This window comes from Homo sapiens, chromosome 11 (assembly GCF_000001405.40).
Source record: "Homo sapiens chromosome 11, GRCh38.p14 Primary Assembly".
Lineage (NCBI taxonomy): Eukaryota > Metazoa > Chordata > Mammalia > Primates > Hominidae > Homo > Homo sapiens.
Window position 1 is genome coordinate 41,848,694 of NC_000011.10, and position 27,089 is coordinate 41,875,782.

The 27,089-nt window shown below is 36.5% G+C and overlaps 1 long non-coding RNA gene across 4 annotated transcripts, besides 1 other annotated feature; it reads right to left on the reverse strand.

Annotated features, from left to right (window-relative positions):
* Positions 1 to 4,924: 4,924 nt before the first annotated feature.
* LOC105376639 (uncharacterized) lies at positions 4,925 to 27,089 on the reverse strand. 4 transcript variants are annotated; one of them, XR_931213.4, is made up of 7 exons: positions 27,013 to 27,089; positions 24,896 to 25,067; positions 23,226 to 23,361; positions 11,083 to 11,166; positions 8,715 to 8,779; positions 5,376 to 5,442; positions 4,925 to 5,269 (listed from the first exon to the last, which is right to left on the reverse strand). It is a non-coding gene; the product is annotated as an uncharacterized LOC105376639 (long non-coding RNA). The 4 variants fall into 4 exon arrangements; XR_931214.3 differs by having other exon boundaries at positions 5,129 to 5,269; positions 23,226 to 23,357; XR_931215.3 differs by lacking the exon at positions 24,896 to 25,067 and having other exon boundaries at positions 5,129 to 5,269.
* Positions 20,606 to 20,793: a silencer, noted in NCBI's record as "fragment chr11:41890849-41891036 (GRCh37/hg19 assembly coordinates)". NCBI's record gives its function as "represses an EF-1alpha promoter that drives an FKBP-Casp9 reporter gene in an ReSE screen in HepG2 liver carcinoma cells {active_cell/tissue: HepG2}" and the evidence as "EXISTENCE:reporter gene assay evidence [ECO:0000049][PMID:32094911]".

A 27,089-nucleotide genomic window follows, 5' to 3' on the forward strand; every position in this document is an offset into this window, starting at 1 on the left:
GTTTTGGCTCTGTGTCCCCACCCAAATCTCCTCTCAAATTGTAATCCCACACTTTGAGGGAGGGACCTGGTTGAAGGTGACTGGATCATGGGGTCAGTTTCCCCCATGCTGTTCTGGTGATATTGAGGGAGTTCTCATGAGATTTGATGGTTTTAAAAGTGGCAGTTTTCCCTGTGATCTCTCTCTCCTGCCTCCACGTATAATGGCCTCGCTTCTCCTTTGCCTTCTGCCATGATTGCAAGTTTCTTGAAGCCTCCTCAGCCATGTGAAACTGTGAGTCAATTAAACCCCTTTTGTTTAGAAATTACCCAGTCTCAGGTAGTATATTTGTAGCAGTGTGAAAACAGACTAATACATAGGGCCTAATTGTAATACATTTAAATGTTAAGTCTACACCTGAAAGTAAACATGGGTTGTATGTTACATGCATGTTTTTTCAATATGCATGTGTCAGGACCACCTTTATGAATATTCATAGCTCCTCCTGTAACCTGTTGAGTATGTATGTTTAGCCAACCTGTTCAGCATAAAATTCCTATTCCAACCTTTTCTTCTTCAAAGTAACTGTTTCTGATCTTGGCTAGAGGCTGTTCCCCAGCCTGCAGGATGGCCACCTTGTAGACTGTAATCCTTCAGGAGAAATAAAGTTTCTCTCTCCTTTACAAATTTGTAGATCTTGATATTTTAAGTTGTTTTTTTTTTTCTTGTTTTCTATTGAGATGGCATCCCTCTGTGTCGCTCAGGCTGGAGTGCAGGGCACAATCATGTCTCACTGGAGCCTCAACCTCCCAGGCCCAAGCCATCCTCCCACCTCAGCCTCCTGAATAGCTAGGACTACAGGCATGTGCAACCACACTGAGCTAATTTTTTAAACTTATTATACAGATAGGGTCTCACTATGTTGCCCTGGCCTGTCTCAAATTCCTGAGCTCAAGTGATCTTCCCTGCTCAGCTTCCCAAAGTGCTGAGATTATGGACACACCCCTACACCTATCTGATCTGATTTTTAAAAATTAACGATATATAGTTATATAACTTTTTCTGCATATACATATATATGTAGAAAAGAACTAGAAAAAGTATATCTGTGCAGTAGAATGAAATTAATAATAATATGCACTTATTTTAGTGTGTACAATTTGATGTTTGTGTGTGTATGTATATATATGCACACACACACACACACACACACACACATATATATGTACACATAAAACTATGGCTACCAATCTAAATAATAATCATTTCTACTTCACCATGGTAGTAACATCATTAGTCTGTCCTAAATGTCTGTCTTTGTTTCTTTTTTGACCTGCACTGGTTTACTTCAAGGATATCTGAAACTACTTTTTCTCCTTTCCCCCTACACATGGACAGCAAATCCTATGCTCACTGGCTCTACCTTCTGCTTTGCTTGTTTCAGAGCTAGTCCATCAGGCTCTAAATTTTTAAACGTGTAAGTTTCAGAATCACAGAAATCTTAGAAGATATTGAACAGCTAAAGCTTTGAAGCAACGAGACTTTAGATCCTCTCTCCTCATTCCTATTTTCCTCATCATATCAACCTTTTTAAGAAGCAGAAGAATGATGAAAGAGATGGGGCCAACACTCTCAGAGGTGGGTTGTGGCAAAGCGTAATGTAGAATTTAGATTCTATATCTCTCAGCCCCTCTGCTCATTCCACCTCATCTGGCTTCAATCCCAGCTTCTTGTTCTTGTTTTATTTCCCTTCTGCTGTTTCTTTCTTTGAGTTGCATTTCTGGTGCCAGGTGAGAAAAACAGCTGAGCACTGTGGAGGCGGAAGATACAGAGAGCTCCATTGCAGCCACAGTGATGGATGGCATCGATAGAGAAAATCCCACAAAAGAGCTTGACTTTTCTCATGAATCTGCAGTTTCTTCCGAAAAAGTGAAATTTTATCAAATGGTAAAGTAAGACAACTGTTTCCTCCAGCAGTGACTTCTATATAGGTCAAAATGACACTGAATCGGACCTGAGACAAATTCCTCATAGAATAGGTCTTAGTTAAATTCTGATTTCAGTTTTTTAGTCTTTAGAATAGAGATTAGTTATGTATGATTAGTACTTTTAAAAGTTGTCTACATCTCAATATCTGGGAGGATGTGAAAAGATCATTGATTCACTTGTCAGCAATTATTTACTGCCTATTATGTGCTAGGCACATTGCTGGGCTCTAACATTGTTAATATGTGGGCCACAGAGCACTATAGCTAAATTCTGGTGTATGCGCCTCCGAGTTCTGGGAAATATTTCTTATTGGATTGACATTTCTTAAGAGGAAAATGGCACACAATTATTAACTATCATTAAGTATTGTTGCTAAAGCCAATATCTGAACATCTGCAAGATGAACATCTGCAAGATGACTGGCACGTGACAAGGACATCAGTGATGCTTCATGGTTTCTGGGTAATGTCTCAGAGGACTTATAGATGATCATATCTAGAGATCGCTTATCAACTTAGTGGAAATATTGACAGAAGCATGATGAAAAATATTGCATATATTTCTTAAAATGAAGTTATGTAGAAACAACAGTGAACTCTAAATGATAAACAGTAACTCTAGTTTTTACATGTTGACATTTCAAAAGCAACCTATTTGTTTAAACTTGTCTCATTTGAGCCTTCTAGCACATTTAACTCAAGTTGAAAATATCCTAACAGCCAAAGAAACATTAATCAAGAGGGCTAATTTATCTTGTGGACAAGTCTGACCCTGCTATTTGATGTACTAACAATTCTCTATAAGGATAGTTGCTACACAATATCCATTATGGCAGAAACCTGGCTACCAGAACCAATTTGCTCATTTGAATAAGATTTCAGAGCCTGAAATCATCTCGCCTGACCTATACTTTTTTTTAATTACACAGTTGAGACCCAGAAAAGTTATCTGTAGACTTCAGCCTTTGCAAAAAAATGGAAGGTGTGTATTTTCTAAGAAGGTGGTTGGGTTAGCAAACACACACCATAGATACAAATTGAGTTCTTGCTTTTTGTGCTTTCCTTCTTTCTCTTTCTTTTCTCTTCCTCTATCTCCATCTCTCTCTCCTTGTGTCCTTCTCCTCTCCTTTCTTTCCATCATAGCTTGTACCTTGTTTCAAAAATAACTTTTTGGCTTATATTTCAGTAGAACAGTATGAAAATGGTATCAGGACAACAAAATATATAAATGCAAAACACTACAGTTTGTGTCACCTAGGGTAGTTACAAATGTTACTAGAAAGAGATTTTCTATCATTTATGGCTATTATTTAAGATTGCATTTTGACATTTTTTTCAAATGCTAACAGCTTGCAAACCATTACTGTGTCAATAATATAAGCTGAATTTTAAAACACAGAAAAGAAAAAAAGGGGGCATTCACTGAGTTCTTTGGATCTCCCTTTAAAGCAAAAATAGACAAGAAATAAAGCAAGGCAGAAACTTCCTACAAATTTATAAGCAATTGGGGTCAGACTTTTATTAATGATACATAAGTGAGGTATTTCAGAATATTTTTATAAAACAGAGAAAACAAATTTTGAGACATGAATTCAAAAGCCTCCTGAAAAAATAAAACCAGATTATTTTGGTTTAGCTATCCACTCCTCTGCTAATACACACTACCAGCCCTACGCTGTATCTTTTCCTTCCTTCCTTCCTTCCTTCCTTCCTTCCTTCTTTCCTTCCTTCCTTCCTTCCTTCTTTCCTTTCATTCCTCCTCTCTCAATTTCTTGCTGTCACTCTTATTCTCCTTATAGTAGGAGATTTTAAGCTTTGTATCATTCTGTACTTCATACAGAAGCTGAGCATTATATAAATCTGTGAAATGCAGTTGATAAATATCAGCAAGATCCTTAGAGGTAACAAGATGGAATCAGTTCATCCCAAACACTTCAATGTCCAGCTTCTCAGGAAAATAATTGGGTTCTGACTTTGCAAATGAGCACCATCCCTAGTTATAATTGACTACTTCTTCCTAGCATAGATAAGCAGTCCAAGAATTTGAGATGATGCTCAGCATATGAGTGTTTCTTTGCCTATAGCACTAGGAAAGAAATTATAAGGCTTGGAAGTTATGACCCTTAATTTATAGACCCAGGCACCAAGTTAAGAGGTCAGCCACCTTGGAGTTATTAAAATCAAATATATCATTAAGGCAATCTCATACTCTTCCAACAGGTAACTTTAGTTGGCCCTGGAGAAAGAGAGAAGGTGGGAAAGAGAAAATGGAAAAGCAAAAGGAAGGAATATTAGCAAAGATAGCATAGGGGCACAGCACAAATTGAAATTAAAATTCCCAATTAATGCACAGGCATGATGTTAGAGTATATATGAAAGAGATAAATTGGATTATACATACTCTCACTGAAATTTAACACCCTCAATCAGAAGTACCTCTTCTTACCCCTTTGACATTTTCTACATTTCATAGTTTGCTATTCTCTTGGTTTTTCCACTTCATTATAATGTTTGAGGCATCTTTTTTGTTTAAAAAAAGAGAAAAGTATCTTTGAACTTCACCTTGAGCTTTTCATAGGAAAAATAAGAGAGAACTCAATGGATATGCTAAATAAGCACTGCTGGAGTGAGCAGCTTAAGGCTGTGCCCCCAAACTTCAACTGCATAAGCCTTTCTTCAGATAAATCACAAATTAATGCAGTTCTTTCTCAAGTGGATAAGCTTATGTCTATATTTTAATGTTATATATATTTTCTTTACCTTTATGAATTCGTTCTCTTTTTTAAAACAGAATAGAGTTTTTAATTCATTAACTTGATAAACTTTTAAAAATCATTTCTGAGTCTGGATCCCCGATGAGCTAATTCTCAATGCAAACATGCTTTTCCTAAACCCTTTTATTGAAGATTCAGGAATGTCTATGCAAGTGACACACTTTAGGGAGAGACAAGTCTCAGTTGCAAGCCTTGCCTTTTATTAATTATTTGAATTTAGATATGTTATTTAACTTTGTTAGGTACATTTTGTTCTCATCTATAATATGTAGTATTAAATCAGCTCACCTCATGGTGTTGCTATAAAGACTAACAAGGCAGCACCTCCGCATAGCAGTCATTAAAACCATAACCAGGCTTTCTAACCAGCTAACTTGTTGCACACATTTGATTCTAGTGCAATAATCTCAAATGGAGGTCCTCAGAGATAGCCTGATGGGAGTTGGATTCATAGATCTCAGAAGGGTGAGATGGATTCTTCTGCTAGGATCTGCTAGAGAAATTGCTACCATGCAGCCCAAGGCTTACCTATTTTATAAAACAAGAAACTATTAGGCAAACATTAGCACTTCAAGCTTTTCTAATATGTCAGAGAAGGAGACAAGTTTTTACTTCTTGACTTTAAGTGACCTACCCCATTTTTCCATCTCCATATCACATTCCTCAGAGTCTCAGTCTCTGTGTTATGTTGGCTTCTTTGCCTGGAAATTAATAAAAAAGAACATATCATTAAACTCAGCCTTCAAACTCCTTGATCTGTCTTCCTTTACTCAACAAACATTAGCTACCTACCACCCATCTGTACTCTGTAGAATTGAATAGTCTGTATAAGTTGTGTTTGGGCTTTATGACATACAATGTATTTAGGGAAAAACTGTCTTTTAATAGGACCCTTCTTTGGATGGAGTCCTAGTGTCAGTGAAGATTCAGTCCATGTTAGTACCCCAAGTAGGCTAGTAGTCTGGTACCCTTTAAACTTATATTCCATTAATACTTTAACATTTATTTATAGGAAAAGATACACGGTGTGTGGAGTATGAGGAGAGGTTAGCAAAGAAAGACCATTATTTATGGCTTTCAGGCTTTCTTTTATTATGCTGAGAAACTCAGCTCAGGTTCCAAAAGTTCAAACTCACTACAAATCATAAACGTGGAGCTGGTCATACCTAGTCTCCTCAGAAGAAAGTTTTAACAGTCCTTGTTCTCTGAATGTAATTTGGGTTGTCACTAACATCCTCCCAAAATAAGAAGCTTATCAAAATAGTCCTTCTAATCATTTAAGAGTATTCTTGAGAGGTCAATTTTGTTACATTTCCAGTATTTATTTGTGTGTGTCTCTATAAGAGATCTGCCATGTTTTAAAGTAAAATATATTGCCATCAAATGTTTTTGACTGTTTGACTAGTTGATCACTCTTATTAGCTGTGTTTGTAATATTATTAAGACATTAGTTGCTTTTTGCAATAATACAAAATTAAGAGCTGCCAACATTTCCTTGCTCAGTACCTAAGCCCTTAGATCCTCACAGCAATCAGAAATGAATTAGGAGAAGTGTTTTAGTTACTCTTGTAATTCAAGGCCTTTACATTCAATCAGAAAGCCTTACACAGTCACCCTGTTGGCCAATTCAGAATATTTTGAGAACAGTTCTCCATTCTTTTACTCCTATCAGAATCTCCCATTTTGCACCTTCCAATATTACAAAACTTTAAGATACAACACAGTTAAGGGGAGGCATGCAGTGTCCCATTTTACTATGGGTGTTAAAGTCTGAAGGATTGAAAGTCAGAATCAAGAATCACATTTGAAACATGGCCAGTTAAGAGGCTTGGGGTTTTCATGCACAACGCTTGCAAGAAGAACAAAAGACTACTTCAAAATGATTCGTAAGTTCAACACAGGATCTGTCAATAGAAATACTAGATGATCGCCTAACCCCATGAAGAAAAAGGGACAGGAAATTGGCAGCTGGCTCTATGAAATCTGCCTTCCTTTTGTAAGCCTTGAGGAAATCTTAGGAAGTGTTCAGAAGTTATGAGCTAGGTCAAAAGCAGTATAAACACTGTATTGGCTTTCAAGCACTTGTTCTAGGGTAGTCCACTCAAAGATGAGAAAACTAGAAAGAGTAATGATGTAATGAACATATTCTAAAACAAAAAAGAACATTTGCAGAGCAGAGATGTATTAAAACAATGTACTATATAAAATAGAAAATTATTTTAAATAAATATGCACCTACATGTGTTATTAATAAAACAACAAACAGTCTCGGTTTGGTTTTAAGTGAGCCTAATTAAATTGCACTCTTCTTTTCTTTCTTCATCTAGAAACAATTGAGAAGCAGACACAGAAGTCAAACTTTTTCAATAAGCTAAATTGGAAGAAAGGGCTTAGCACACGGTGTTTCCTAATCTTTCCTGCCAACCATTTATTTAAGCTCAGATCTTGGGAAGCCCATCTAAGGGCTTCCAAAGAGAAAATGCTACTTATCAAGAATCATGCCTTTCCTGTTGCAGAGTAGAAGTAAACAAAATCAAGAAATCTCCAATGCTCACACAATTTTAACAGGTTTGGCCAATACAACAGAGACGTGAAAACCAACAGATGTCCCCCACCAATCCAGGTAACTCATTCCTCCTCCATGGGAAGAAAAAAAGAATGGAGACAAGGTGGGGAAAGGAGTGAAATGGTATCAAGGAGAGCAGAGGAATAAGCATTCCATTATAATTGTCTTTTTTAACCAATTTGGAGAAGAAGGTTGCTATAGTTTGGATATTTGACCCTCCAAACCTCATGTTCAAAGTTGACCTACAGTGTGGGAGGTGGAGCCTAATGAGAGGTGTTTGGGTCAGCAGGTAAATCCCTCATGAACATCTTTGTGTCATTCTTGCAGGAATGAGTGAATTCTTGCTCTATCAGGACCTGTGAGACTTCCCTCAAGAGCTGGTTGTTAAAAAGAGCCTAGGACCTCTTCCCTCTCTTGCTTCCTCTCTTGCCTTGTGATCTTCACATCCTGACTCTCCTTCACCTTCCACTCTGAGTGGAAGTTTCCTGAGGCTCTCGCAAGAAGCAGATATCGGCACCATGCTTCTTTTACAGTCTTCATAGTCCTGAGAACAAGTAAGCCTCCTTTCTTTTTAAATGACCTAGCCATAGCTATTTCTTTATAGCAACTCAAATGGGCTAAAACAGAGGTCAATGGACTATCAGAATGTTCTTCCACCATTTTCATGAGATGGCTACCCCAAACCTGACCAGGGACAATTTTGGGTGTCCTCCTGGGGACTACTGGTAGGCAGAATGCATTTTGCCTCCAGGAAACTATAGAATGGGTTATTCAGTATGTATTAACTAAATTACCCACAATTCTACACTAAACTCAAAGATGAACAGTTACACAGAGTTTACTTCTTATCCCAAATTAGTTCTAGCCACATTCATCTTAAATGCTCTTAGAGGTTCTGTATAAGATTAATTGATAAAATAAGATCTTATTATAAAATTTCACACAACACAGAGATGCCCCAAAATACTAATTAAATCCTTTCATCAAATAAAATTACCAGGGATAAGCATATTCAGAGCTTTAAATCCCTTTGCCGTTGTAAATTCATGTCCAAAGGAAAATTATCTATCAGGTTTTTGTGAGTTAAAGTACAAAAGTAATTCAACATTCTTAAGTCATTGAAATGAATGAAAGTCTTTGCCATTTTAAAATTTCTTGTTTGATTGTATCCTAGCTAGATGGCTTCCTCATCCCTGAAACAAGTTGAAGTTTGGCTGTGGTCTGTCTCATCACTGTCTTCCACTGGAATAGACATATGTGTTAGTTGGCCAGGGATGTCATAAAATAATTCAACACACTGGTGGCTTAAGCAAAAATTATACTTTTTTCTCATAATTTTAAAGGCTAGAATTCCATGGTCAAATTGTTGGCAGGTTTGGTTTCTTCTGAGGCTTTTCTCTTTCTCACCGTGTCCTCACATGGTCATCCCTCTGTCTCTGCACTTGTCCTTTGTGTGTTCAAATTTCTTCTTTCTGTAAAGGGTCAGCCATATTGGATTAGGGTCCACTCTAAAGACCTCATTTTAACTTAATAACCTCTTAAAACCTTATCTACAAGTTCATACATGCTCAGGTACTGGGTGTCATAACTTCAACATATCAATTTTAGGGGAACACATTTTATGCCCGCAGGAGTGTCATCTGTCAAGATTCTGGAAATTTAAATAATTCTATGCCAACTCTGATGGATTCAAAGTGATCTGAAGACAGACAAAATGGATGCCCCAACTCCCAGAAAATTAAAAAAAAAAAAGCAAGGAAACACCTATAGCAGTTGATTCAGGATGTGTTTTATTTTATTCTTGAAATTAAGGATTTACTATTGCCGAGGTCCGTTGAAGGGACTCAGTGGTGGCTGACGGAAAGAGGCAGGCAGAGAAACCCTTCCTTGTATTAGGTTTTCTAAAATGCCAGTCAACTTAAGTCTCCCTGGAGACTATGGCCTTGAGGTTATTTTCAACAGGGAGAAATCTCCTATAAGTAGTTTATTGCCATTTGTTTGCCATTTGTCTAGGGGAAAATTCCAATTATATATAGTATCTCTTCATGCAGAGTGACCTTCAAGAGAATTATACTTTATTAGCCCTTAACATTCGCAAAAGTGGCAGCTACTTTTTGAGCTACTGTTTATTCTCATTCAGAATATTAAAAATCTCTTGACTTCCACTTTCTCTTTGGTCCCCATATTTCTGGCACCTCCATGGTAAATTGAGGGAGCCTCTACCTGGCAGAAGCGTCTGCAGATTCTTTTGTGAGTGCACATTTTATACCTGTGCCAGCAGTTTGTGCCTCTTGCTATAATCAGTTAAGCCTAAGAAAGCTGTTTGCTAGGGAGTTTCCAAACTGCTGTTGTTGCCTTGGAAGCTAGAGTCCTCCGGAGGACCGACATTTCTGCTTATGCTTCTCAGTTGTATCTCTCCAGCTTTTGAATGTTTCAAACAGTGAACAGCATTTGCTTTTTGCTACAACTTTTTCTTAAGTAGTGGCACATGCCTCTAGTATTCTGCTTTCTTCTTCTATCAGTCTGCACTTTCCGAAAGTTTACCCACTTGACTTTCAAAGAGTTGACCCGTTTATTTGGTTTCTTTTTATCTTTATTTTATATCTGGCTAGAGCTCTTTGCTAGATGTGAGTGTCTTTTTTTTTATTATTACTTTTCCTTTGCTCTCTATCGCCAATTTTGTTTTTCTTTAGATTTATTTTTCAGTAAGCTCTAGTAAAATTTCACAATAAGTGTTATGAAACTAGTAAGTTCTCAGTCTGTCAAAAACACCTATAATTCCCCATATTGAATTGAATCATCCTGTCTGATGAGTAGTCTCCTGTCTGATAGCAAATAACCTAGATTTAGTGTCAGACAAAACGTTCTATAAGTATTAAAGGAGGGAGATGAGTTTGTTAACAAAACAAAATCAAGCTGATCACATATTTCTCCAGTTCACAAAGTGAATGGAGGATGTGCACATGCTTTCAAAAGACGTAGGGTTCAACTCAGAGTCTACATTGAGCAGAAGTTCATTTGTTAAGACATTCTCACTTATTCAAGAGCCCAGTAACTTTGCTGCCCATATGGACCTCAGAAAACATTGATTCAAAGAGCTACTTAAGTCAACCTAAAGAAGATAAAGTAAAACACTGAGTTGAGTAGTAAAACACCAGAAGAGTGCGATGGGTACTATAGCAGGTAAATATATATGATTTAGGGACATACAAAACCCAAAATTTTTTTGCAGGAAAGCATGCCAAATGAAAATAAAATAAAGCAAAACATAACTTTGACATTTTCTAGGGGTTTAACTCCAAAATATATGAGATTTCAGGATATGGTGGTAAGAGGTGATAATAATATATTAACAATCAAAATGTTCATATATAATAAGGAAGCACCACAGTCATTGGATTATTCCCTAGTTTTACAAAAAGGCTAAACTATGATTAGATTAGATTTTAAAAGTAAATATAATTACCAGTAAAGTGTTCAAACAGCACATAAAACTAAAAAAACAAGGAAAATAATCAACCTATGAAGTCGATCTTGAAAAATAAATATGTTTTCTGTATGTTCTAGCATTCTGTAATGTGTATGTGTTAATTTTAAAGGCAGTGGAAAAAAGTTATAAAAATGTGAGTGGATAATTACAATAGGTATAATTCATAGATAAGCTAAAAAGAAAATAAAAACTATATATAGTTTTCTTATGGAAACCACTTTAAACTTCTTGCTTCCAGGCAAGTGTTGGTGCAGGATAACTTTAGAGGCTGCCAGTGTAACTAACCTTCTGCTGATCACTCCATTCAAGCTGCTCAAATAGTCCTTCCAAGGTCACAGGCCAGCGACAGCAGGGATGACTAACAAAAACCTGAAATGCATAGTATGCAAGAAGGAGTGTTGTAAGAACTGTGTAGGTGAGATAATTCTGCTGAACTCCAAATGCTCCAATTAGACAAGGGGATTTCATGTATTTTGGCGGAATTCTCAGTCTTCAGGTGATATTGAAATGGAGGCTGTAAGGTTTAGGTTTTAATAATACAGGTTTCAAAACCAGGCAGCAACACATACTAGCCATGTAAACTTGAGCTATTTAATTTGCCTGGTTGTTGCTTAGTCCTTCTTTGAAAATTAAAATTCTGTTCTCTGGAAATAGTGATTTAGGTTGTTGTAATTCTGAGTGGATTAAATGAGATAATACACAGAAAGGTTTAGAGGTAAAGATACATAATGAATAGAGTTAGTGGTTAGCAAAGTGACTTCAGAGGCACATTTTGTGGATTTTTATCTCAGTTCCATCACTTTGTTAAGCAACCGAATCTTTCTGTGCTTCAGCTTCCCCATCTGCAATATAGCAATAGTAGTAGTACAACTATGGAGAGTTATTTTGAAGCTAAATGAGTTTATACATAGTAAGGCTTAGAAGAATGCCTGACATTTGATGAGCTTTTAATAAAAATGTCAGAAATCTTTTTGTCACTATTTTATAGATAAGAAAACTGAGGCACAGAGGAGTTAAGTAGTTTGCCTAACTAGTCACTAACAAGTTAAAAGAGCTTACTTTCAAACCCAGGCATTCAGGCTTTGCAGTTTGCATTCCTAACCACTGCATGGAGTTCATTCAATACATAGTGGGTTTTTATTGTTATTAGTTAAGTTAAAGGTGACATATTAGGCTGATCTCAAAACATGTTCCACGAACTAGTAAGGAGAGGGTAAAGGCATGCTTATTTCTTATATAATAAACAATTCTCCAATTTATATATATATTACCATATTTAATTCTTCATCTCTATCATGCATGTAGTATGATTTCCCATAAGGAAATTGAGCCTGAGGGAAGACATGCCTTAATTATGGATGGAATAACATTAGAATTCAAATCTGCCTAACCTCAAAGCCTGAGTCTTGTGATTATACAATACTGCTTCCAATATCTTGATATTTGCTCTAATAATGTTCAGTGTGTCCCTGGGACAGTTACCATACTCAGAATCTAGGTTTGCCCTAGAAAATGAACATTCCCGTTGCCTTGGTTTTCCTGCAAGTCTTAATCTCTGAGAAAGCCAAAATAGATAATCAAGAGATAATATAAAGTGAAGTGAACAGAACTTCATTAACCTTATCTGCACAAAAGAACGTTTTCTAATGTGAAAATGAAAGAATCAAGATGGAGTCACTAATGTTAAGAAAACTTTGACAAATAGAGCCAGGGAACGCCATGAAGAGAAGGTTCTCACACTTGTATGCCTGATAATAAAACAAATTCTACAAAAATCACAACCTTGAACAAAGGTTTGATTTGTAACCTTGCACAAACTTACTTAAAACAATACTTATGCATGGAAATCTTCTCAACAATTGCCTGTCCAGCCTCAAGCTGTAATTGATTTACGTAGCTACGGATAATTACTACAATTATGCACTTCTCATTTTTTTTCCTTCAAAAACCTTTGCCTTCCTTTACCTCCCTGACTATGCACATAGTTGATAATGGCATACATATCCCCATTGCAATACTCTATTCCCAAATAAACATCTTTTCCTCTAGAGAGTCTCTCTCTGTTTGTTATTCAGATTGACACTAGGAAATCTATCACGGGCTCGTGATAAAAGTAATACAATAATTCTCATCTTCAAAGAACTTTGATATTGCTAAGATGTTCTACTTGGCAGAAAACATTGATATCCCCTCCATTTTTTTTTTTCTAGAATCTAAATCCTAGGATTCCTTGACATTCTGTTACTGAGAGTCTGCAGTCTCAAGACTTTAAGGATAATAGTTCCAAAGGAATGTTATCTGTACGTTTTTTCTGAGTAAACACTTCCATTTCAAGCAAAACATTTGGGATTCTATTTGTTGGCTGTTTCTCCAGCTTCCATTTCCCTCCCCCTTTTTTTTTCTGCCATCAGCGCTTTTAATTTCCTTTTGGTAAATTACTTTTCTACCATTGTGTTACAGCCTTGCTATTTGGTGGAAATGACCTCACTCTTAGCATCAGGGGTGTGGCTGATTGGCTTAACCTAATCTATGCCCCACCCCTTCTGGCATTTATTCCTTCTAGCCACAATAATTGGCTCAGGAATTGATACATGATCCAATTGGGGCTAATGAAAGAGACTGAATCCAAAAACATAAGCAGAAGCCTGCTTGGGTCCTCCTCTCTCATTGCTTGGAGTCATACTGGTGAGTATAGGATAAATTCTGGAGCCTGGAATATGAAAACTGACTGTCAACACATGGTAGAGTTGTCACTGAGCTGCTGCCTCCAGCTTCAGTAGGGACCAGTTCTATCTCTAAACTGTTTCAGTTTTGTGATGCAATAAATTCCACTTACTGCTGCTGTGGTTTAGATTGTATTTCTGTTACTTAGAGTTGTAGAGAGTCCTAAGCAATAGCATGTTTCATCAGGGAAAACCCTACCAGATCCAGTAACCCCTAAAATCCTAATGGTTCTTATGGAAAAGTAAATCAAACACACAAATTAGAAATGCAATGTCTTCTCTCACAGTGTAAGAAGCACATTTAGTGATTTTCAAAAGTCCTCTTAGTTTCTGCAGCAAATGTTTAATGGACTTTTTAATCTACTTCTTATTGTAACATAGCCATATGTAGCTCCAGGGTAGACTGCCTCACACGTCAGGTATTATGTTACCAACATCATGTTACAGGGGAATACTGTGTGACTTCTTTTCTTGTATTAGAGAGTCTACTCAAAATACTGGCCTTATGATGATTCCATTGTGAATCCATGGCATCATATTGCTATTCTGATCTAGTGGTGTAATAACAGGGTAAAATAGTGCCACATAGAAAGGGTAAGCTCCAAGCATGGAGTGTGTGGTAGCCAATATGACACTACACTAAACTTGGAAAAACTATTGGATTTAGGCCTGTGTGAGTTGCTAAAGAAAGAGACAAATATTCTGAATATTATTGGATGCAGTAAAAATTATTATGCTTTTGAATTTGATTTTCAACTTTTAGAAAAGTGTGAAAGCTCATATTTGAGTAGTATCTACTATATATGCACACATTACATAGGAGGATTCTATATGTAATTGTATATTTATATAGATGAATATATATCTCTCTTTGTCTCTTGCTATATGTGTGTGTGCACGTTTGTGTGTGTGTGTATGGTGTGTAAGAATACATATATATTTATGTATATATACACATACACATCATATATGTATATATGTAGGCCTTGTAACTTTTCCTTATTGATATACCTTTTTCTTTCTAAAATATGAACAAAACAGAACAAAACAAAACAAAACAAAACAAAAAAACACCAAACACTGAAACTGAGATCCTGAGTGGTGTGAGGCCATTCAGAACTCCTCAATCCACCCCTCATAGCAATGGTAATGGTGTAGTCAGGGATCCAGGAAATTTTAGTCTAGTATGTGAAGAAAACTCTGAATCTCAAGATATCAGTAAAATAAATATGCTCTTATACACTTGAATATTGCTGAAAAACATGGTTAAATTTAATGGTTTGTTAGAAATAAAGCAGTCAAGGCCTGAGAAATGAAAGTTTATGGCTGAGCACAGGCAGTCCATGGTTCTCAACGGGCCAGGCAATCAATGCGCTTTCTCAAATCACATGCTTCCCTTCTCCTTTTGGCACCCAAGGACAGTATTGCTGCCATGGCTGCCCTTGGGACTAGGAAAATAGCTATTTGCAACTCCGAAGAAAGAAGATCATTGATTCCAGTTGACACTGACAAATGGAAATTATGCTGTTTGCTATATATTTGAAAGAGATCTGGCTTTGGAACCAGAGACACTGGAATTAAATCCTGCACAGGTATCTTAGCTGCTTAGCTTTGGGCGAGTTATTTAACTTTCAAATGCCTACATTTTCACATTTGTTAAATGCATATAATAAAATTTGGTAGGAGGATTACATATAACATGAATGAAACCACTTAGTATGCTTATTGAAGGGTATGAGGATCACTTAGTGGGTGAGTCCATGGTTTAGTTGTACAATGCTTAAGGCTACTGGGCCCTCTGCAGATTCCTAGCACAAGGAAGCTATTAATTCAAGTGAAAAGAAGAAACTAATAAAAACAATTTTTTACAAAATGTGGTGGATGGGCTGACTGGAGTATTGTCCAGCTAGACCTAAAAATATGAAATTATACTTCAAAACAGTATGAATTTCCTCTCATTCTTTAATTAGAACTGTTTTCCAATTCATATCTAAGCACTTTGATATTTTTTTCAGCTTAAACATTTTTTTTTTCTGTCCTAGCTAGAAGAATGTTTCAAAGAGGCATAGGGCTTATTTAGTGTAGTACAAAACATTGTGGAAGAAATCCGAGAGCAGGAAGTCAGAAAATATTTGTTCCAAAGCTGCCTTTATCAGTTCTAAATACTTCAGTTTCCTCATCTAGGCAATAAAATGATTTTTCAGTCCCAGCCAGGTATAAGGTCCTATGTTACCCCAGGTCACCCCATAAAATGCTAGCTTCATTCACTTCTATTTAACAAGAAGGACTTTTTGAAGAATCATTTTAGCTTCATTATTCAAAAAGAACAAACTAGTATCTGCACATGTCATCAATGAAGGGTTGTTTCTAGTCTTTGCCATAATTCACACTGTTACTTCCAAAATGTAATCACTATTAATTATAATCCTGACTCAAAATAGTAATAACAGCTAACTTTCTTGAGCACTTTTTTCTTGCACCAGAAACTGTTCTTATCAATTTACATATATTAACCAGTTCAAACTTCACAAGTCTAATCGGATAGGTTTTATTATTATAATTGTCCTCACTTTAAAGGTGACACATGTACATGGGCAAAGAGAAGTAAAGTCAGTTGTTCATATTTTCTTCTCTAGTAAATATTGGAGCTGGAACTGGAACCCAGACCGTCTATTTCCTGAGCCTAGACATTTATTGACTACACAACACAGCAAAATGTAATTGTTGCTCCACCATTTTACCCATGTGCCCTTTTTGCAATACTAAGTAGATTCGCACAATATGTTATAAGTGAAATATAAAATTACATAATGCAGATTGTGTCTCCCTCTCAATACTTTTTTGCAACAAAATGATCAATATTAGGGGCAGTAGGGATATGTGAGTCTACATTATAATAGGACTATTAAACAGGAAAATTATAAAATTGATAAAAATAAGCATTGTGATTTTAATAAAGTTTTTAAAAAAATAATGGGAATTATGAAACTAACCAAACACCGGAGTACAGAAAGTTCGAGACAATAAAAATATAGGAACTAAAAAATAAATATTAAAATACAAAGAATTAAATGTGTCATGTACATGTTTTAGCTGAATCAAAGAGTAAACACAAAACCATTTCCAAAGCACAAAATAATTTTCAGTTTTGCCAATTGTTGAATTTTTAAATCCTGTGCAATTTATTCTACTAATTGTTTTGAAAGTAAAATATGAAGTATTGATATATATTTTTTCATATTTGCAAAAAAGCTAACTGCCTTCCTGGAGGGAATGGAATTGGGTTATTCCTCATCTTTCCTTTATGTTTTAAATATATTCTCTCTTTTGTCGCCAACTTTGGACTGAATTATTCTGTTCTTTTATCCAGTATGTCAAATTCTCATTCTCTTACAGAGGAACAAATAAGCTAAACTAATTAATTTCCTGTAATGAAAAGGAGTGTGTTTTCTGACTCTTTTTACACATCAACTATTCACTTAACGTTTGCCACGTCTACAAAAAGGGAATGACAACAAGAATAGCCATAGGGTAATAAAAGTCTACTTATACAAACAAACAAACAAACAAAATAAAAACAGCTAAAAAATTAAAAAGCAAAAGAATAAATTTTTAGATTATTCTTTTCTTTCTGCCTTTGCACGTTTTTTAATTTTTCAAAGTAGAAGGAAAGAGAGAAGAGCAAAAAAGGGAAAGTGTTGTATAGTTATGAGAGAAAATGGGCAGGGAATATTTTTCCTAAATTATTTCTACTTCTCACTTATGTTCTCCATTCTCGGCTTTTGTTTTTTCTCCCCAGGCACCTGGTCTCTGTTGGAGAGGCAACTCAATGACTCCCAGGAATCCAATGCCACATGCTAGTTTTATAATTAGAGTCCACATTATAATTACCCTCACGTATATAATCAGTTCCTGAACATCTTCAATCACTCAAGCTCTATCTTTGAGTGATAAGGCAGGAATAAGTTTTGTCTTGCTTTTTTTTTTGTTGTTTTTTTTTTGAGACGGAGTCTCGCTCCGTCTCCCAGGCTGGTTTGCAGTGGCGAGCTCTTGGCTAACTGCAAGCTCCGCTTCCCGGGTTCATGCCATGCTCCTGCCTCAGCCTCCATTTCATAAGACAGACAGTGGATGTATATTTATTGTTTTGCAAAATCAGATGCTATTTCACTATAACACAATTAGTAATTCATAAACAAATATTACTGAGTATCTTATGTGACTACAAAATATGGCAGAGCCTTGCTACCCAAGGCACACTGGGTATAATATATTTCCTGATGATGTACTACCGAAATTCAAATTTTGCCTGAATAAAGTAACATTGCAAATGAAAAAGCATGTCACATATGCACATTTTTGCTTGATTAATGATTTATACTTCTTAAGAAAACTGAAAGACCACAGTAATAAAGTATCAAAAATATGAGGAGTATTTATGTAGTGAACCCAATTTATGTAAGTATGGGTCTGCCCTGCATATGTGCACTTTTGGTATAATTAGGCAGAATTCTTGAAGTTCCACAAGTGAATCTGAGCATTGGGGATGCTATTTTTAGCACAAATCTGCTAACTGACTGATTATAACCAGACTTCATTAAGAATCATATTTCACAAGAGAGGAAATGTTATCAACACATTATAATTTAGATTCAGATAAAACTCCCTGCATCAATTATCAGCACAAATATCTTCCCAAACCACTTTTTTGTATGCAAACAAATGAAATTCCTGAGAGTAAATGATTCCCAATGTCATTCACATTATTAGGATGATGTTCATCTTACACAAACTTTGAAATGGACTCAATATTTAAGTTAGATGAGAATACTGCATTACTGGTCCTTGAAACGATATTACAGAGTGGGTCAGAATGTGGCAGCAAGATTAAACTATGTGCATTCAAATCTCTGTTCAATATCTTTTCCTTTGTATAAACTTAATCTCTCTCATCTATAAAAGGATTATGATAAAGACATTTCATACCCCCTAAGATGTGGGAAAATTAAATAATATATGGATACATGGAAATGCATTCTATGAGAATATATGGAAAGTGTTTGAAACAGAAGTAAGCCTTCAATACAGTTTTATCTATTATTAACTATATTTTTTCCACTCAACTAGGTGAAAGAAAAGACCTGAAAATGAATTAGGGAGTAGAAGGTGAGAGGTAAAAGTTTGGAGATAAAAAGCATAAGTATATTTTCTGAAGGTCAAAATATCTTTCTTTAATCATTGGGCAGACTTTGGTTTATTGATATCTTAGGATCTTGAAAAAACACTTTCTAAGACAGCAAGATGAAAAACCCCTGGCTGGCAAGAACAGACGGGTGGTGTCAGGAGTGAAAAAGGGAGAACAGGAGGGCATTTTCACTGATGCGACAAGTTTGTTTGCAACATAAGGTATTTAACTTTAGGCTCATATTTTAAGCTCTATTTTATACATTTATTTAACAGGCTAGCAGATTGTAGCGCAAATTCACCTTTTGTGCTTTCTTTCATATAATGAGCTTTCCAAACCATATTATAATGTCATCTACTAAAAGTGCTTTTTCCCTTTCAAATGTAGATTTCAAGATAAATGGGAACTTTTGCCACAGATGTTAACATCATAAATGAGAAAGAAGAAAACATATTTTTCTCTGTTTTCTCTTGAGTACGGTAAAAAATAAATTTAAAATGGCTTGCCTAAGGACCACATCAATAAACAATATTGCCAGGCAGCCTGGATTTAAAGCCCTTCCTAGCTGTGTGATCTTGATCAAACTATTTAATCTTTCTAGACTAGTTTTCTACCTGGATAGTGGGGATTATAATAGTCCTAGCTTACAGAATCTTTGGAAATTTTAAATGATTTCATATAGAGAAAAATTTTATAAAGCAATTTTAAATATAACTACCCATGATTTTTGGCCATTCTATTATTATCAGTAATTGATTTCTGCTGGAATAAGTCTTATCGAATTGTTTCTTATAAAGGATCTTACAAATGTACTTAATATTCCAAATATAACTAAGGAAAGACCAGACACACACATTTGTAAAGATGGCTATCCATTCCATTTAACACTCCAGGGAATCTACACTATGGTCAGGATAGCCACACTATTTTAAAAATAATAAAATATATCAGCTACCCCTCTTTGAAACAGTGGTGTTCATACCTCTAATTGTGAATATGATTGGGCACTTTTATGAGTAACATTCCATAAGCTTGTCTTGTGTCTCACCATCTTGACCTTAATTAAAGTCAAGTCTTCTGCTACTGGGCAAACCCAGGTGTCCTGAATGCCTTCACAAGTACAGAAATAGACAGAATGATTTATGTAGCTGTCTTGCTGGAAAACTACCAAACTATGTTAATAATAAAGATGCTCACTTGGAAAAACTCAATATTTGCCCCAATCGATGTAAACCCTTACTTGTAAGGCTTGAAGTAACTGGAATGCTGGTAGGATAGAAGATATGGAAGCTAACTTGCACTGAAAAGCGTTTTTTCTGGGATCCCCTTAGGTGCTTCACCTGTTCAGCCCCATATGACATGGCTTTAGCACCTGTAAATTAGTTTAGCTTATCGGCACCTCAACAAGTTAAGACGATGACTGAATCATGAGTCAGGATGCCTGGGGCAGAAGTGTCCAGGGTCTCTCTCACACTTGAAAATATAATACAATAAAAATCATTTGGTACCTCATAGGCCCTTAAGTTTATATTTTTATGTTTTATTCCTCTGCATCTGAGGAAAGAAACATCTTTTGTGATAAGAAAACTGAGTTTATATAACATGATCTATTTTATATTTTCTGAAACTAGAAACACCATTTAGCTATGATATATTCTAAATAGGATATATCCGAAGTAAGGAGTACTAAATGGTGTTCTTTCTTTCTCTTTTTTTTTTTTTTTTTGACAGAGTCTCACTCTGTCGCCCAGGCTGGAGTGCAGTGGTGCGATCTAGGCTCACTGCAACCTCCGCCTCCAGGGTTCACACCATTCTCCTGCCTCAGCCTCCCGAGTACCTGGGACTACAGGTGCTGCGACCATGCCTGGCTAATTTTTTGTATTTTTTGTAGAGATGGGGTTTCACTGTGTTAGCCAGGATGGTCTCAATCTCCTGACCTCGTGACCCACCCTCCTTGGCCTCCCAAAGTGCTGGGACTACAGGCGTGAGCCACTGTGTTCTTAATCCACGTGCCCATGGTTCAGGAAAGCATGGGCTCCAACAATTTAGCAGACAAAGTTTTCTATTCAAGTGTCTTCCTTTTAGACATGACATTGTTTTGCATAGATAAAACTTTCTCTGCCTCACCTTCTAAACTAGAAGTTCCTGGAAGCCAAAACAAGGTTTGGTTGTTTGTTTTTTTTCCTGTTCCCCAGTTTTTAGCATAGGACCTTAATTTCAACAATTAATTTGTAAAACAATTAATAAATCAATTGACAAAATGATTTACAAAGTTCTGAAATCTCTCTTCTGTACAATCCTGCTTAGATGATATGATCTGTTAGTAGTATTTCTTAAGGATTGGATAATACAACTTTCCAACTAAAATCTTCCAGAACAATCCAGATTTTAAATATACTATATTGTTGCCACATGGACTGTCAGTTTCTGGTTTGAGAAATACAAACATAGTGGATACACTTCATATAACGGGCAAGGAAAACTCTGTAACCTCAAAACCCCTCAACCATCCTTTAAGCAACATGACCTGAAAGGAAGAGTATGGCCTTTGGGATCCAAGTGACCTAGGTTTAAATGCACATTCTGCTCTTTACTGGAGGTTTTTCCAGGATTTTTTTTACGTGTTTCTTACTGGCTTTGGAAAACACTGTTCCATCAAACACCTACATGGAAACCAAATATAATAACAGAAAAAGACAGAACGTTTCTCCTTGGAGCAGAGTGAAGGGCCAGCTCCCAGTTCACTTGGTTATCCCTCTCTACCATGCCCAACTCAACACTCCAAATCCCACTGGGCTCAGGAAGGCAGAGCTCTGTGAAACAAAGTTGGGAAACCCTAATGTCTTTCAGAATCAGATGACACTTACCTGAATCAAGTTTGTTTATCCTGAAAAGATTTTACAACCACAACACTAATTTGGACTTTAATTTTCAGGTGATTTCTTACTCTTAGAACCTTTTTTTTTTTTTTTTTTTGGTAGGGGAGGACAGGTTTGTGAATAGTTTATCAAGTCCTGGGCTCTAACATTTTCTTTAAACTCTGTTTGCAAATTGAGCAGTATCTTCTTTAGCTTACTTCTCTTCCTTCCTATAATCTAACATACAGAGCTGGAAAAATTCAAGAGGAAGGGAGTTAGACTCCAGCTTTTGATGTAAAAAGGACCATCAGTGCAAGAGATGGGTAGAATTGATGGGGGTGGAGGGGCATCTTTTTAAGCAATCTTCCACGGCTAGGCCTAAGACCAACATAGGCAACAGTTTTACCAATGGCTCATTATCACACAACACGGGTTGCCATTTTTGCACACTCAAATAGCAGTTTGGAATTTGTCAAGCCTTCACTGACTGTTTCCTTACCAGCTTCGTTTTGCCACCCAGTGACAAATACCATGTACTTCGATGAAGTGCAACGTACTTTAAAGGCAATGCAATATACTTTAATCTTTCGTTACCATACAATTCAAGTTTTGGCATTGACTTCTGTATTAATTATCTATTGCTAATATGAAAAGCCACCCCAACAAGAAAAAGTAAAACAATAACCTGGGTCACCCGTTTGGACTAGATTCAGTCAGGTCTTTTTTATTCTGTTTTCAGAAACCTGAAGAAAATTAATGAGACAATTTTGACATTGTAATTGTTCATGGACTCAGTTGTGTCTGGATGATCCACAATGATCACATCCATTTGCATAGCCTTTGTTAGGGTTCAGCTAGGGCTTCTCTGTTCTGTTTTCTCCATTTCTATCTAGCTAAGTCAGGCTCATTCTCATCTTGGTTTTGGTGTTCCCACTATAAACGAAAGAGGTTAAGCCCCAGTGTGCAAACACCTTTTGAGTCTCTGCCTACGTATAATTTGCTAATATCACATTGGCCAAAATGCCACATGACTAAGCGTACATTCACTGGTTGGAGAAGTGAATTCATTTTTTTGATGGGTAGGGTGCTACAATCAAATTGCAAAGGTGTGTACGTGCAAGGATGGAAAGAATTATTGCATTTCTCTGTAAAAGCAACTTCCCATGGATATATTATAATCAATTATAAGTTGTTTTTAATAATTTATTTTTGTCCTAATAATCAAATAATGAAGCTTAAGAAAATCTTTTAAAAATGAGCAACAGCAGAATCAAAATTGTTCCTGAAATTGTTCATCACCCACTTGAATTTAGATATACTTTCTTAGAGGTGAGAAAGGAATGTGGAATTATATTTAGTGTCTTGAGATTTATTCATTATCTTGCTTTCCTTGGCTGTAGGCCAAAATATCCTTGGAATTATATTGACAACTCACAATTTCCTAGGAGACTGGAGAATCTGGCTTTAAAATTTGCAGAAACAGATGAAAATTTGAAGCAAAAACCACAAAAGTAGTCTATTAGTAGGTATAGTCTGATCTCCACTGAGATATTAATATAATGAAATCTCAAACATTCTGAGTATTTTTGCACTTCTAGTTCAGTTTTAATTTTCACAGAACAATCATCTAAATTAGTCTACCTTTGATATCAGTTTAATCCTTACCTAAATGAGGCCAGACGAGCGCATACCGTCTTCATATGCATTTGTCTTGTGGGGAGGAAGTGGAAGCTGGCAGCTGGCAGGCAGCAAAGGCACATTTACTCCGTATTGGAGTTCATCATGCCCAGGGTAGAGCTATCTGACACGTCCGTTGCAAGGGGTCAAAGCAAAGTTTGAGAATTATTTATTTTCATGATCAAAAAGTCTATGATAAATAAATCAATTTCAGGGAATACAAAACCTTCCTCACTTTCCTTTAGGGTCAATGTTGAGGACTTTAGGCCTTAGGCATAGAAGATGTAGGAATAGACTGAGCAAAAGACCTGAGAACATTTTCTTTAATGTATATCCCAGCGGATTTCCATCCTAGTGGATGCTTGTCACTCAAAAAGGGGAATGAGGAAAAGTGGCACAGGATCTGATGAATTAACACATTGTATCTCCAAGGCTAGACCCTGCACGCCAATATTAACTGCCCTCTCAGCAAACTCTGCAGGGCTGGGGTCATAACTCTACCCCTAGCTGTGGCTGTCTGTTGTGCATGGTAGTTTGGAATCTGATGACTCAAAGCCACCATCCCAGGCAGCAGCCATCTGTCTTTGGAGTTCTCTCTTCTTTTAATGTTCCATTAACCTCTCACAGCTGGCCTTCCTATGCAAGATCATCAGTTCAGCTAATCTTTCACTGATCCCTCCCCTTTATGCAGGAGGTTCATCATTAATGCATTCTCCCTCTGCTCCCTGCTTCCTCTCCGCCTACCAGTGCTCTCTATTAGTGCAAGCTGTGCCGGGGGCAATTCATCCCACTGTCTGCTCAGCACCAGCTTTGTTGGGATTCAGCACCTTTGGGCCCTAAGGCAATGTATGTCCAGGCCCATTAGACACCGGGTTAGAAGCAATGTGAGGACATCTCCTTGTGTAGGAACATGAACTCTCAGAAAATTGAGCCTCCGTTTCCTCGTTTGGCCTGCTAGTATGCTCCTATTCACTTGATGTCCCCTCCCATAACTACGACTCAACTTAATTACAATAATAAAAATAGCAGTAACAATAGTTACTATATAATAATAATGCTGTGATATCATAATAACAATAGTCAACTTCATAGACAGAGTGCTAATGACCTGGATCTGTGCCAGATGCTACATGCTCCGATTAAATTCTTACAGCATCTTTCTGAGTTAGCTAATTTTGATGAGGGAGGATGTACCAGGTCACAGAAAGTTTAATGAAGCTGCCCAAGGCCATCCAACCAGTAAGGAAAAAGCCTGTGCTTGATCTTTTCTTCCCTATTTTCTTTAAAACTTGAGCTTTTAACCATTATACTTAATAAAAAAAAGATAGCTACCGGTTATGTTGCCTGGGGTTTTACCTGTATCAACATTTCAAAATTAAATGTAGTTTAGTATTTAAATAATTAGCAAGATTGATATAAATTAGTTTGGTACATTGAAATATACTGTACATTAAGTTGGTACAAATTTTTAAAATAAAATATGAAAAGAATGTTAAAAATAATTTCCAAGTATGATCTGTTAGATAACCAAGAATGCCTTCCTCTTGTCTTCTACTTTTAAGGGGAATATAAGTAGAAAGGTTTAAGAAGCACTTATGTAAGTAACAGTCCGCCACTAGAGTGTTTTTCAGACACAGAAATGACATGGCTATACTCACATTCAAAGAAGTTCTCTGGATAGCTTGGCTCCAGCTTAAACTGTGCTACCTCGTCTCTTACTCTCTGTCCCAGCCAAACTGCCCTTTCAGATGCTCTTCAATATTTTACCAACCGTATTCTCTTTACTGACTGTTCTCTGGCCCTTGAAGGCTCTTCACACCACCTGTTCTTCTAGATAATTGATAGTCACCTTTTAGAGTTCAGTTCAAATTACTACCTCAGGCATCCTTACCTAATAGACCACATCCTATATCATCAACTCTGATAACCCTGTGAGTCTCTCCTCGGTGCATATTACAGTTCCCATTTTATATTTGTTTTATGACTATGTGATTAATAATTATTTTCATCAGTTTCAATAGACTAGGAGTGTAATTTGTAAAAAGACTGGGACCATGCCTGTTTACCTGTTCCTACATTCATTCACAGTACTTGGCCTATATGGATACTCAATAGTTGTTTAATAAAAGAAGGAAAGAAAGAAAGGATAAAGAATGATGGAAGGAAAGAGGCATATTAAATGCTGAAATTACCCATTATTATCAACCTGGCATATGCAGGAGGTCAGCCCAGATAATTTTCACCCATGCTGGGGCTCCCCATGTTTCTCTGTTTGAGGCCATTCTTTGAACATGGACATGTTTGCCCTCCACATTGTGCAGTTTACAAGGAATAAGAATTATAGCCAAAGGAGGGACCCTCCATTTATAGAATTTCAAGTCTGTAAAGGAATATCCCCTTTTCTTTACCACTTAGTGGATGACTCCTAGTGGAAAGAGCTCATCATCCACAGTAGAAACATTCCAATCAGTGGACTTTCTCTTGGCTTTCCTGGACACCCACTTTCACTTCTCTACTGCTAGATCACCATTAAATAGACTACTTACACTCAAATTTCTTTCTCATGGTTTACTTTTGGGGAACCCGAAGTAAGACAGGAAGAAAGGAGATAATATGTTAAGGTAGAAGGAGGAAAGAAAAAGAAGTAGGAAGTAAAAAAGGAAAGAAATGAGAAGGAAGAAAGGAGAGGAAACAAGAAGGTGGGAGGAAGAAAAGAAAAGTTAGACATATAGTTGGAAAAACGGAAAAAAGGGAGGAAATAAAGGAAGGATGAGAAATAAGAAAAGAAGGACAGTGAAAACAAGGTAAAAATAATGAAAGAAAGACTAAAAATGAAAAAAATAAAAGAAACAGAGAAGTGGAAGAATGGGGAAAAGAAAGAAGAGAGGGAAGGAGGAAAAGAAGAATGAAAGAAAATATAAATAAAAAGAAAAAGAAGAAAGAGGGAAAAAGCAGGGGGAATACATAAGCCAAAAGAAAGAATGAAAGGAGAACAAATAAATAAGTAGGAAGAGACTGGGGAGAAGCAGAAAAAAAAAAAAAACAAGGCAGAACTTTAGGTTAAAACAAAATAGAAAAACGGAGACTTATTTTGAGCAGAAAAAAACATGGACTTAGAGAAGCTGATGGCAGGGAGACAAAGAGGTTGTTGGAAGAACATTTTCCTACACATACTAAAATTGTACTTTTTCTCTATAATGCAAACGAGCATTTCCTCCTGTCTGGTTAAGATGCCCAGCTCAGTGCCAAAGAGCATATCCTGGATGACAGCAAGACAGTTTTGTTTCTGTCTCAAAGGACTGATTTACCTGCCCCCCATGTTCATGCCAAGTTTTCCTTTGGCATGTATATGCCTGGGGTTCCATGGCTGTTCCCCCAAAACAACGACCTTAACAAATATCGGTTGGGGCAGCTGCAAAGCAGCAGCAGGTTAAATATTCTCAACCTTGAGTATTTCAGTGCATTTTAGGACTCAGAGGACAGGTGTAAGATAGGTTCACTGTGCCAGGGAGAATACACAAGTCAGAACCAAAGTTACCAAAGCAGGACAAATGCCCATCATCAGTAGGATGTTTCACTGTGGTTTAATACTTTCCTATTTATGAGTGTGAAGTATTTTATTCTGTCACAACATAGTTATTTACAGCCCAGCCTTTGGGAAAATTTTAAAGTTTGTGTTCTTTTCAGCCATCTTCATTTTAAGTATTTTTTTCTTTCCCTTAGATATAAGGAATTGAATTAACCTCAAAGTCAGAAATGAAAATCAAGAGCTTACAATTTAGTTTGTTCTGCCACCAAGTGATGTGGCCATAGAAACCACTTCATTCCTCTGTGTCTTTCTCCAGAACAGTT